The sequence below is a fragment of the Homo sapiens genome, chromosome 2 (genome assembly GCF_000001405.40).
Source record: "Homo sapiens chromosome 2, GRCh38.p14 Primary Assembly".
NCBI lineage: Eukaryota > Metazoa > Chordata > Mammalia > Primates > Hominidae > Homo > Homo sapiens.
Window position 1 is genome coordinate 44,732,427 of NC_000002.12, and position 14,265 is coordinate 44,746,691.

The following is a 14,265-nucleotide window of genomic DNA, read 5'->3' on the forward strand; positions in this document are numbered from 1 at the left end:
AGCAACATGTTGACATGATTTGATGTCTGGTAGAACCATCCTTTACATGTCTTCGCACATGAATGTTATGCTTTAGATGGTAAAACTTATATAGGTAAGGGTCCTACTTGTATGCGCCTTGCTCTTTTTCAGAAAGCATTTTCTGTTCAGTTTGTTTAAAAAACAGTTTTGTAGCTGGGACTATAGGCACATGTCACCATGCCCAGCTTGGAGTTCTAATTTGAATTTCCCTAGGGACTAATGATGTTGAATATATTTTCATGTACTTATTTGCCATTCACGTATCTTCTCTGGTGAAGTGTCTGTTCAAATGCTTTGCTCATTTTTTAAAAAATTGGGTTGCTTGTTTTTCTTATCATTGACATACTCTGGGAGTTCTTTATATATTCTGGATATAAGCTTATATCAGATACTATATATGATTTGCCATTTTCTTCCAGCCTGTAGCTCGTCTTCATTCTCCTCACAGGATCTTTCAAAGTGCAAATGTTTTTAATTTTAATAAAGTCTGATTTACCAATTTGTTCTTTTAAGGATCAAGACTCTTGTGTGTGTCTAAGAAATCTTTACCTAACTCAAGGTTACAAAGATTTTCTCCTGCATTTTCATCTACAAGTTTTATAGTTTTGGGTTTTACATTTAGGTTTATGATTCATTTTGCATCAATATTTGCATATGGTGTGAGATATAGATTGAAGTTCTGTTTTTAAAAAATGGAGACTCAATTGTTAAAACATCATTTCATCCTTTGCTCACCAAATTGCCTCCATTTACTTAGGTCTTATTTAATTTCTCTCATCCATTGTCAGAATTATCTTTAAGTGTTTCATATTTTTATGCTATTATAAACAGAATGGTTTTTTAATGCTGTTGTAAACAGTATAAAATTGGAAATTCCAACTTCCAATTATTTGTTGATTTTATGAAGAAATACAACTGATTCTTGTACATTGATCTTGTATCCCACAATCCTACTAAAGTCACTTATTAGTTCTAGAAGCTTATTTTTGTATATCTCTTTATACAGAAAGGGACTGTAATCTCCAGTGCAGTGTTGAAGAATGAAAGAAAACATACTTTTCTTATGCCTGACGTTAGGAAGAAAGCATCGGGTCTTTCACCATTAAGTATGATGTTAACTATAGGTTTTTCATAGATGACCTTTTTCAGGCCAAAGAATTTCCTTTCTATTTTTAGGTTGCTGAAAGTTTTTAGCAGGAACAGACATTAATCTTTGTCAGAAGCATTTTCTGCCTTTATTGAGATGATCATATGTTTTTTCTTTTTTGGCTTGCTAATATAGTAGATTATATTGATCAATTTTCAAATGTTAAACCAACCTTCTTATATTCTTAAGATAAGCCCCACTTGATCATGATGCATTGCCATATGTATGTTCATATGTATATTATGGACAACTTTGGATATGTTGTATTAATATTGCATAAATATTATCCTCTTAATATTTATGGACTCTGTATTGATGGCACCTCTCATATTCATGATATTGGTGATTTATATCTTCTCCCTTTTTTCCTGATAAGTCAGGCTAGAGGTTTATCAATTTTATTGATCTCAAAGAATCAGTGTTTGGTTTCATTGATTTTTCTCTATTATTTTTCTGTTTCCCTTTTTATTCACTTCTGCTCTAATCTTTATTACTTCTTTTTTTTTTTCTGGTCAAGTTTAACTTACTCTTCTTTTTCTTGAATATTTAGCTAGAAACTGAGTTCACTAATTGAGACCTTTCCTAATAATAGCCATTTAGTGCTATTAATTTCCTCTAAGTACTTCATTCGTGGCATCCCATAAATTTTGATGTGTTGTATTTTCATTCAACGCAAAATAATTGTCAGTTTATGTTTTCATTTATTCTTTGGACCCCAGGTTATTTAGAAGTATATTATTTATTTTCCAAATATTTGAGAATTTTACAGAGATTATTGATTTCTAGTTTAATTCCATTGTGGTCAGGAAACATTCTTTTTTTTTTTATTTTTATTTTTGAGACAGGTTCTCGCTGTGATGCCCAGGCTGGAGTGCAATGGTGCAATCTCAGCTCACTGCAACCTCTGCCTCCTGGGTTCAAGCTATTCTCCTGCTCCAGCCTCCTGAGTGGCTGGGACTACAGGCATGCACCACCATGCCAGGCTAATTTTTGTATTTTTAGTATAGATGGTGTTTCACCATATTGGCCAGGCTGGTCTCAACTTCTGACCTCAAGTGATCCACCCCCTCAGCCTCCCAAAGTGCTGGATTACAGGGATGAGCCACCATGCCCAGCCAGGGAACATATTTTTTGTATGACTAGAATCATTTTAAATTTATTGAGACTTACACTATGACCCAGAATAGGTATATATTGGTAAATGGTCTATTTGAAAAGAACATCTGTTCTGCTATTGTTGAGTGTATTCTATAAATATCAATTAAGTCAAGTTATTGATAGTGTTGTTTAAGTCATCTGTAGCTTTGCTTATTTTCTGTCTACTTGTTCCATCAATTACTGAGAGGGGAGTATTAAAATCTCTGACAATAATTTGGTTTCATCTGTGTTTTTTTGTAGTTGTACTTCTATCCATTTCAGCTTCATAAATTTGAAGCTCTGTTATTCAGTGCGTGAATATTTAGAATTGTTATGTCTGCTTCTTGACCCTTTAACATTGTAAAGTGATCTTCCTTATTCCTAGTACATTCTTTGCTCTGAAATCTACTATGTCTGATATGAATATAGACACTCCAGCTTTCTTTTGACTAGTGTTGCTTGGTATAGCTTTGTCCATCTTTTTACTTTTAACCTAGTTGTGTCTGTATATTTAAAATGCATTTATTGTAAGCCACATGTACTTCGGTCTAGCTGTTTTGTCCAGTCTGACACACTCTGCCTTTTAATTGGAGCGTTCAGACCATTTTTGTTTAGTACAGTTACTGATGGGGTTAGATTTAAATCTGTCATTTTACTATTTGTTTTGTGTTTCATCTATTCTTTGTTCCCCCTTTCATCTTGTTCTGCTTGCTTTTGGATTAAATGAGTTTATTTTCTTATTCTATTTTATCTCCTTTGTTGGCTTATTAGCTGTAACTCTTTGTTTTTTATTTTAGTGGTTGCTTTAGATTTTATAGTATGTATCTTTAACTTATCACAGACTATCCTCAAATGATATACCATTTCATGTATATTATTAAAACCTGTGGCTGGGCATGGTGGCTCATGCCTATAATCCCAGCACTTTGGGAGGCCAAAGTGGGCGGATCACTTAAGGCCAAGAGTTTGAAACCAGCCTGGCCATCATGATGAAACCCCATCTCTACTGAAAAAAAAAAACAAAAACAAAAATTAGCCAGGCGTGGTCGTTGGTGCCTGTAATTCCAGCTACTCGGGAGGCTGAGACAGGAGAATAGCTTCAACCTGGGAGGCGGAGGCTGCAGTGAGCTGAGATCATGCTACTGTACTCGAGCCTGCTCTGTCTCAAACAAAACAAAACAAAACAAAACAAAACAAAACAAAACAAAACCTTACAGTAGTATACTGCCATTGGTCCCCTGCCAGTCTTTATGCTACTATTGTCCTACTTTTTATCTATACATATATTATCACCCCACAATACTTGCTTGTTTAACCAATTATATTTAAAGAGGTTTAAGTAATAAGAAACAGTCATATATATATTTACCTATATAGTTAGTATTTCTGATTCCTTCATGTACATTTCCATCTGATATAATTTTTCTTCTGCCTTAAGGATTTCCTTTAACATTTCTTGCAGCATAGGTCTGCTGGTGATTAATTCCTTCAGCTTTTTGTATGTCTGAAAACATCTGTTTCACCTTGTTTTGAAATATATTTTCACTGGCTATACAATTCTAGGTTGACAGTTGTTTTTTATTCCTTTCAGTACTTTAAAGATGCTGCTCCACTGTCTTCTAACTTGCATATTCCTCACAAAAAAAATATGCTGTCATCCTTATCTTTGTTTTTATATAAAACATCTTTTTCCTCTGGGTGCTTTTCAGATTTTCTCTTTATCACTACTTTTAGGCAATTCGATTATTATTATGTGCCTGCTAGTTTTCTTCATGTTTCTTGTGTTTGGGCTTGTTGAAATTTCTTGCTGAGTTAACAGTTTTCATTAAATTAGGACATTTTTCAGCCATTATTTCTTCAAATATTTTTTCTGTTGTCTCCCTTCTCCTATTTTTTGAGAAGTCCAGTTTCACATGTATTGACCACTTAAAATTGTCCCACAGCTCACTCTTTATTTTATTCCTTTTTTTCTCCATATATTTCATTTTGGATAGTTTCTATCACTATGTTTTCAAGTTCACTAGTCTTCTCTTTTGCGGTGTCTAATCTGCTGTTAATCTTATCCAATGTATTGTTCTTCTCAGGCATTGTAGTTTTCATCTCTAGAAGTTTGATTTGGGGCTTTAAAAGGTATCTCCCATGTCTCTACCTGATTCTTAGAATATATTAAAGACCATTATGATAACTATTGTAATGCCCGTGTCTGCTAATTCTGACATCTCTGTCAGTTTTCGATTGAGTTCAGTTGTTTGATTTGTCTTGTCATTATGGTTTCTATTTTTTCAATTTTTTATATGTCTGGCCATCTTGGATTATATACTAGGTATTTTGAATTTTACTTCGTTGGGATCTGAATGTTTTTATATTTCTGTAAATGTTTTTGAGATTTTGCGTTTGTTTTAGAGACAGAGTCTCACTCAGTCATGCAGGCTGGAGTGGAGTGGCACAATCACAGCTTACTACAGCTTCAACTTCCCGAGCTCAAGTGGTCCTCCCTTCTCAGCCCCCCAGGTAGCTGGGAACACAAGCATGCACCACCATGCTCATCTAATTTTTGTATTTTTTTGTAGAGATGGGATCTTGCCATGTTGCCCATGCTGTTTTTGAACGCCTGACCTCAAGCAGTCCTCCCACCTTGACCGCCCAAAGTGTGTTTTTGAGTTTTGTTCTGGGATACAGTTAAATTACTTTGAAATAGTTTGATATGTTTGGGTCTTGCTTTTAAGATTTGTTAGGCAGAACCAGAGCAGCATTTAGTCTAGGGCTAATTATTCCCTACTATTGAGACAAGACCCTTCTGAGGACTCTACACAATGCTTGTAAATTATGAGGTTTTCTAATCTGGCTGGTGGAACACTCACTATTCCTGGCCCTGTGTGAGCACTGACCTACTCCCCTTCAATTTTTTGACATGATCTTTCCCCAACTTCAAGTAGTTTTCTCACATACATGCATGATCAGTCATCCACAGAATATTCTAGGGGGACCATCCACAGATCTCCAGAGTTCTCTCTCTCTCTCTTTCTCTCTCTCTCTCTCTCTTTCTCTCTCAAGTGCTCTCCTATTCAGTATTTTATCCTGGGAACTCTGAAGTTTCTTAGACTCTCAGTTCCATCTTCTTTTTTTTCTTTTTTTTTTTTTCTTGAGATGGAGTCTCGCTGTTACCCAGGCTGGAGTGCAGTGGTGTGATCTAGGCTCACTACAACCTCTGCCTCCCAGGTTCAAGCGATTCTCCTGCTTCAGCCTCCCAAGTAGCTGGGATTACAGGTGCCCACCATCGTGCCCAGCTAATTTTTTTATTTTTAGTGGAGACGGGGTTTCACCATCTTGGCTAGCCCAGTCTCAAACTCCTGACCTCATGATCCACCCGCCTCAGCCTCCCAAAGTGCTGGGATTACAGGCATGAGCCACCATGCCTGGCCCCATCTTCTTAACTCAGGCAGTCCACCTGCTTCTTTCTCATTTCCTCCATCTATGCTATGGCCTGGAAACTCTCAAGGCAGTAAGCTGGGGTAAAGGTAGGGCTCATTTCATTTATTTCTGTCTTCTTAAGGATTACTGTCCTGTGTTGCTGATGTTCAGTGTCTTGAAAACTATTGTTTTATATGTTTTGTGTAGGTTTTCTGTTGTTGTTTTAGACAAAAAGCTAAATGAGGGCCTTGTTACGCCATCTTTGCTGGAAGCAGAAATCTTTAGAAAGCATTTTAAGTGGACTTCATATCTAGCTAATCCACACATTGTATTCAAAGACCAATTTAACAATAGAAACCTCTATTTCTTGAGGGCCTTCTGTGTGCCAGGCACTGTGCTAGGTACATTCACACACAATTCATCCATATGGCATATTTATTGAACAGCTATTAGGTGCTAGGGACTATTCTAGACATTGGAAATACATCACTGTACAAAACAGATTTTAAAAATCTGTATCCCTGTGGTGCTTATATTCTAGTGGGGAAAGAGAGAAGAAACAAAATCAATAATTTAGTTATATTGCACATTAAAGGGTAATAGCTGCTACAGAAAAATAAAGAGCAAGATAAGGGGGTTTTAGAAGTGCTGGACTGAAAATAAATGATTGCAGTTTTAAAGAGGATGGTCAGGGAAGGCCTCCCTGAGAAGGTAAGACATATACACAAAGACCTGAAGGAGGTGACGGAGTGAGCTGTAGCTATAGAGATATCTGGAGGAAGAGCATTTTGGCTGCTCAAGCAGCCAGTATTAAGACCCTAGAACAGAACCATGCTAGTATATTCAGGAAAGCATAAGGAGGCCAGTGTTACTAGAGCAAAGAGGCCAAGGAGGAGAGTAATAGTAGATGAGGACAGAGTGGTAACCAGGCCCAATTGTGTAAGGGTTTTCAGGTCATTGTAAAGACTTTGGCTTTTGCTCTGAGTGAAGAGAGAAAAGGCTCATGATCTGATACATGTTTTAAAAGAATCACTCTGGCTGCTCTCTTGAGCAGAGATTGTTGGATGACAGATGGAAGCAGGGAGACCAATTAGGGAGCTATGAAATAATTCAGATGAGAGATGATAGTAGTTTAGACTGGGGAGAGCAGTAGAGATAGAGAGAAGTGGTTAGATTTTGATATATTTCAAAGGTAGAATGACCTGCACTTGTGGCATATTCAATGTGGACTGTAAAAGAAAGAGTCAAAGATATATTCAAGGTCTTTGGCCTGAGCAACTGGAAAGATGGAATTACCAATAACGAGATTTAAAAAAGACTGAATGAAGTGAGTTTTAGGGAAAATGATTGGGAATTCAAATTTGGACATGTTAGGTTTGAGATGTCTAGTAGATACCCAAGTGGAAATATTAAAATAGGAAGTTGGATATATGAATCTAGAGTTCATGGGAGAGGTTCAGGCTGATAGGTCAAGTAAGATAAAGACTAAGAACTGACCTAAATTTAGCAATGTGGAGATCTTTGGTGAGTTTGACAGCAGCATTTTTGGTGGAACGGTGGGGACAAAAGCCTGGCTGGAGTGAATTTTAAGAGAATGAGAGGAGAGGAATTGGCAACAGAGCGTCAAACAATTTTCTCAAAGAGTTTTGCTGCAAAGGAGGAATAGAGAAATGGTGCAATAACTGTCAGGAGAGGATATTTTACAAAGGGGGAAATAACTCCATGTTTGAATACTGATGGAAGTAATCCAGAGAGAGAAAAGAACTGATATAGGAAACAGAAGGGAAATTGCTAGAGCACGTCCTAGAATAGATCAAAGGGGATGGATCTAGGTGGCATAAGAGAAGGTACTGGCTGTAGATAGGAGTATAGATAGTTCATCTATGGTAATGGGCAGGAAGGCAGAATGTGTAGATGCAGATGCTATTAGGAGCATAAGTGTGGTGGTAGGAGTTTATGGAAGTTCTTAACTGATTGCTGCATTTTTTTTTTTTTTTTTTTTTGAGAAAGGGTCTCATTTTTGTCACCCAGGCTGGAGTGCAGTGGCTAGATCATGGCTCACTGCAGCCTTGACTTCCTGGGCTCAGATGATCCTCCCACCTTAGCCTCCGGAGTGGCTGAGACCACAGGTGTGTGCCACCACACCCAGCTAATTTTTTGTATTTTTAGCAGCGAGGGGGTATCGCCATGTTGCCCAGGCTAGTCTCGAGCTCCTAGGCTTAAGCAATCCACCCGCTTCGGTCTCCCAAAGTGCTAGGATTACAGGCATGAGCCACCGTGCCCGGCTGGATTGCTGCAATTTTGACAGTAAAGCAAGAAGCAGGGTCATCAGCTGAAAGTGAGGAGGAGGGGAATAGTGTCAGAATTTTGAAGGGAGAGTACAAAGTGCAAAATAATGACCTAGGATAGTGGGAAACTAAATGGACAAAGGAAATGTAAGTATAACTGCCAGATGTCATTAAGAGTCCACTTGAGGTTCATAGTCATGAATTTAAAGCAAAGCCAGTGAGGATGCTTGTGTGCTGTCTCTAGCCACATTCAGGTGCACAGGTGCAGTCATGGACCAGGCAGAGAGCTGGATTTAACAAATACGAGGAAGTAAGAGAGGGACAAGGAAGTTGAGGGTGTATGCAAGGGAGTAATTACAATGATAAGTCATGAAATTTAAGCTGAGCAAGAAAGAAAGATAAATATTAGGGAAGTGGGATAGTGACATGGTGATAAGATCAGTGTGGGCCAGTGGGACTGAAGAGTACCTTCTAGAAAGAATGAGCTGTGAAAGATAGGAGGGGTTGGTCAGAGATTGGCTAGAGTTGCAGTAACTGGTAAAGATAGGTTTGGAGGAGTGCCACTCAATGAGTAGGCCATGGACTGGTGCCAGTCTGTGAACTGTGTGTTACTGATCTGCAAGGAGATAAGTTCAGAAATTGAAAATAAATGTTTAGAAACACTGCTGCGACATCCAAGCATATGATCAGTGGACTTGTATTTGGAATGCCTTTGTGTTTTTAATCTCATTTTTGTGACTATATTTTACAAAAGTATTGGTCTGCAACAGATTAGATACAAACAAAGTCTGGTCCTCCCCCACAGTGGAAGCACATGCTCTCACGAGCATGCATGGGAGTGTATCTCCAAAGGTGGAGGACAAGGTCACTGGAGGAGAGGAGTGAACAGTGAACTCACCATCATCTCTAGTCTTCCAAGATAGCAGGCTGCCTGACTGCACAGCTCCAGGAAGCACCATTCTCATTGTATGTTACATGAACAATACAACTCCAGGTACTGTATGAATGGTGCTCTTAGAATGTTCAAGGAGATAGCTAGTGTTATCCCCATCTTACAGATCAGAAAACAAGCTCAGAAAGGTTAAATAATTGCCTAAACTCATACAGCTACTAAGGGGAGGAGCCAAGATTTGAACCTAGGTCTGTCTGCTGTGCTAAAGCTGAACTCTGTCCACAATACCACTCTCTTTCTCTGTCACATGCATGTAGCACAGCCATAAGCCTCATGAGAACTGGGGAAAAATACCTTTTAGGAATGTGTTATGGTCCATGTGACCAAGCCAGGCATTTCAATTTATTTTAGAGTCATGACTCATTACAGCTGCTGTGGGAATCCATACCCAGTCGCTGCTTAGACCCCTATCTCTCCAGTTTGTCTTTGTTGAACCAAGGGGCTGAAGCACCTCAGGAATACAGCATCCACTATCACCACAGGATTTCCTGCAGTCTGTTCTTGTGCTTTAGTAATTGCATATGTATTAAAAGCAAATTCTAAAGAGACATTTATGGAATGGTAAGATTATGAGTAATTTTAATACTTTAATCTTTTTTTTTCAAAATTCATATGATGGATAGATACATTACTTTTCTGATCAGAGAATGTCTAGTATAGATGTATACTTTAAACCATCTTGCTCATGGTTCAAGTCTTAGACTCTAAAACTCAGGGCTGTGATGAGGGCTGGGAAGGCCCCATCTCTCACTGAGCCTGAGTCCCAGATACACTGGGAGCCTCAGCATTTCCAGAAAAGTTGGTGTTTGTTGCTTCCTGCTCTCCCCAGGTGCATGGAGTTTCTGAGAAATCCGTAAACAACGTAAGCATTGATCTCTTAGGATTTCCTAATTTCCTTCATTTCTTGCCTATCCAGTAGGCCTCAGCAAGTACAGCAACACTAAAGTTAATTTGTAAAGCTTATCTGGGTGTTACTGGACTTGTGAACCCTGAGGTAACCCACTGCTTCTGGAAAGCCCTCCCATGCTCCAAGTCTGTATATTCACCCAATGCATAGGATACAGCGTAGGAATTGGGGGTTTCTGTGTCCATATGGCCCATCAAGCTGCCCCTGTGAAGGCATGGTCTATGGCACAGCACAGGACCTGACACACAGTGAGGAGTGGCTCAGTAGGAACGAGTTGGACAAGTCAATGAACAACTGCTGCCCAGCGTGTGTAGGTATTTTTGTGGTGATGTCTTTAATCTTTTCTACCTTGAGAAATTTACTGGCATTAATATATATTAATGTATTGTATATGAAAAGAACTTTTGGGCTGACTGGTATAAGACTTATTATTACATTCAGACACATGACTTTTCACCTAGGGAAGATATAGAAGAAATGAATCCACCAAAATAAGCAAATATAACTGGGCAGGGTAGGACATGTTCAATCCGGTTAGGTTTAAAGAATCAAAATAGAAAATAGGAACAGAATTTTACTTTGAAAAATAGTACTGTAAATCACAGTTTTGGTGCTGTGGTAAGACGAATCATTAAAATACTTGAATATGGTAAAATGCTAATCATCACAGTTATTAATTGAGAGTAACTAAAAACCTCTGGTTGGCCTCATAAGCATTAGTAAAGTTTTCAAATGCATGTTACTAATTATTGTTATTAATGTGAAGTTTTAAACCTGATCCCCTTTGGGAGACTAAGTGTCAGTGTGGGTGAATTTTTCACTATGCCTAAAAACCAAGAACTACCAAATGAAATTTGACTCTTCTTTTCTTCCATCTTACCAAATTGCTCATTTCATCAATATGAAAAGCAACTGATATGCCAGGCAGTATAGATATAAGCTGTCTCACATCATTTATTTTTATAAATTTGTGTTCCAGTCAAATGTGGAATACTTTGGTTTCAATATGTACCTTATTGATGTTAAGGGTCTAGAATCATTATAATGACTACGGTAAAGATAAGATATTTTTCTCTAGTTTGTCTACAAAAACCTATAAAAACTAGCAAAAAGGTTAACTATTTTATTTAAGTAGAGAATTCTTCTTCTAGATTTGAATACTAAATAAAACACAGAAGACAGTTACATCCTATTTTTTATTATACCTTTTGAAATAATTTGTATATACCTTTTAAATAATTTCAAGTGCCACAAAAAAATAATGTTAATAGCTCAAAATCAAAATTTAAAAAAAACCCTATGTATAATTTTTAAAATCTTTTTCTCCTCAAGCGTTTTACGATGGGATAATGAGACAGATGTCTCTCAACTGGAAGGACATTTTGACATTGTTATGTGTGCTGACTGGTAAGTACATAAAAATCACAAAACTCCTGTTAGAAAAAAATAGCTTTGCTGGAGTAATTGGGCTGTGTTGCTTAGCTGACGGCTAAGCAAAGTCAACAAATGAAGCACAAAGCCACCTTAACCTCAACAAATTAATATTCATCTCCATGTGACAGTTATAAGGTAGTCTTCTATCACACAGTAACTTCTACCACATTATTTCCCAAAGATTGATTTTGAGAAGCATTTCCATTTTCTGGAATTGCCTCTGTTTCATGCTTGACGTATCAGTAAATGGACGACTTAGGCAAATTGCAAATAATTATGGCTCGGAGAGGAATAGTCTGGAGAAAAAGGAGTTTATCAACACAAACAGCTCAATTAGCTTACTTCTTAGGAGAGATCTGACTATTGATATAAGGGAAAATATATGTGTGTGTGTACACACACATACTCTCTAGCAAATAAACATATCTGTGGAATATCTTTGGGGAAATAGCTTTTCTTAAAATATATGTTTGCTATCTAATGTTTTCAGTGTATTCAATTATAATAGTTAATTATACCTAAAACAAAAATTATAAAATTACATTTTATTCTTATGCAAATAATAACATGACAATCTCTGTCAGGTGCCTGCCTTTTAAAAATAATTTACATTCGGTATTTTGCCCTCTATTTTAGCCCAATCTACTTATTTGTTAATGAAAGTCTGATCGTAAGTTACAGGATAAATATGCATCAGACCTTAATAATTATTTCAACTAATCTTATGTATTTCTTCATGCAGTTTGAATAATAATTATTTCAGCTTATGGGAAACATTGACAATTCACAAGTATTTTCCCTGTTAAGAGTAAGATCTTGTTTGAGGTTTTATCATGATGTTTATTAGGACACTTTAGATTTGAAAACACATTAAGTTCAGATTCTGAAGAAGTTCTGTTATATTGATAAGGCCAATCATAAGATCCAGAACTCAGGGAAGACTTTCCCTAGAGGAGAATTGAATGAAATTTTCAGGAAGTGGGTTTTGTTATTATTATTATTTTAATAAGATTTTCAATGGATAACTTTTCTACAAAAGTCATTGGAATTAGGTTTGCTTTTTTTCTTCAGAAAAAAAAACACTTCTCCATGAAAAATAAATATTTTGTCTATTCTTAGCTGAGAGTTTCTAGTTTTTCATAGCCCTTTTAGTCTTTTTGCACCCAATTTCAGAAAATCTTGTTCCAAAAATAGGAGAAACCTGGATTTCTGACTAATCAATGATAATGTGCCTCAATGCTGCAGCCCTCATCTAATCAAAAATAAGGAGCTAAAACCTCACCGTATGATTCGAGCAAGTAATTTAGTAAATGCCTTTCCTCACCAAATATGAGAAAGAATCCTCCAGGTTTCATTGCACAGATGAAGATAATGCTGGCAGGATTAGATCAGATTAAGCATGAAAGTCAGATCAGAGAGCAGCGGCAAAAGGGAAGGGGCAGCATCTTCCTGAAGCTTTAGACAAGGGTCACACGTGGATGGGCTCTGATTATATGGGGAAGGCAGGTCTGGCCAGGAGATTTAGAGTTAAATTTGTCCCTTACGCAAATATCAAAACAGCCTGGCTTTGTCATACCTTGTGTTATGGACACTCTCACCATGTCATCCTATTTGTACCAGAGGGAAAAGCAGAGGAAGTAAGATTTAAGCTCTTTTCTGATTAATGTTCTCAGGTTAAAAATAGCCACACAACATGTTTGGAAAACATTCTTTTTTCCCTAGCCGACAACAGGGTCACGTACACTGATATACATAATGCATATTCAATTTAAGACTTACATTACACACACATAACATAATATTATATGTATACACACACACATAGATACACATCTGGTAGCTGTGTGAGAATTTATGGCTTCAAATGAACTAAATACACCAAGCTTCATTTTATAAATGGCTTTTCCATGCATGAATTGTTTTTTTTTTTCCCCTGGGTGTTGTAAATGCCAGAATGTCAGCCTGTTTATACTTTCCCATTTGTAAATGTGAAACATTAAGCTACTCTCACTGCGATGCTGATAGTATTTCCAAAAGAAATGCTTTGGTAATGGTCTCTCTTCATATTCGCGGGGATGGGTAAGCTGCTTAGAAACTTAGAAAGTACAGTAATATTTCTAATATGCACGTTGTGCATGTAGCAGTGAAGCACAGGATTCCACGAGTTCTTTATGTCCTGTTGGTGTGGTGTTTCTCTGTAAGAGTTATTGCATGGATGCTGCTTCTAGGGGCAGGCAGGCAGGCAGGCAAACCGTGCTACATATTTTTAAGAATGTCACTGGGGAGGAAAAGAAAGCTCTCTTTAGACACTACCTCCAAGACGAAACCTGAAATCCTCAGTGTCAGGAAGAGGTGCCACACATAAATAGATCACATTAAGTCTCACACCATCCTTTAGTCATTGTCAGCAATGAGATCTGGATTAGGCCACAGGAATATGAAGCAAGAGTCGGAGTTCAAATATTAGGTACATGGATTAAAATCTTATTGAAGCGTTTCCAGCAAGGGTGGCATTGTCTGATTCCCTGAATAGCTAACCAGTGGTACTGCTTGATCCCATTTACATGAAAACAAGCTCTATTCACAAACCTATTCCAAACCCACATTGTGGTTCAAGTAAAATGCACATGATTACAACAAATGGTGATATGTTTATGTTCTTAAATCATTCATATATTCAGATATTTACATTCAAACATTCAAAAACCTGTAGGCAGTGGGGGAAATAACTTATTTCCCAGAAGAGACAGTCTGTTAGTTCACAACTAAATTTAGTAGCTCAACTAGATTATAAAATAAAGAGGCAAACTGTGAAAGCTAGTCATTATTTCACCATTCAGCATTTTTGACAATGAAAAATAGTTTCATGGTTCAGCAGTTCCTAAATAACTTGTAAAATGTCAACTTTGAAATAAACAGAAGGAAAAAATGAGGTGCAGCCATACCTGCAAAAGGATGCTATTGACAA

At 37.3% G+C, this 14,265-nt stretch overlaps 1 protein-coding gene across 10 annotated transcripts in view; it reads left to right on the forward strand.

Annotated features, from left to right (window-relative positions):
- CAMKMT (calmodulin-lysine N-methyltransferase) overlaps positions 1–14,265 on the forward strand; it is a 410,646-nt gene that overhangs the window by 370,480 nt on the left and 25,901 nt on the right. For 8 of the 10 annotated variants that reach the window (XR_939723.2, NM_024766.5, XM_047445878.1 and 5 more), the window contains one exon: positions 11,196–11,270. Coding sequence is in view for 7 of the 10 variants with exons in the window: in NM_024766.5 (NP_079042.1) it covers positions 11,196–11,270 (75 nt within the window). In the remaining 3 variants the exon portion in view is untranslated. Of the gene's footprint in view, positions 1–8,809; positions 8,999–11,195; positions 11,271–14,265 lie in introns of those variants that run through there. The other 2 variants (XR_007081736.1, XR_939722.3) reach the window with 2 other exon arrangements.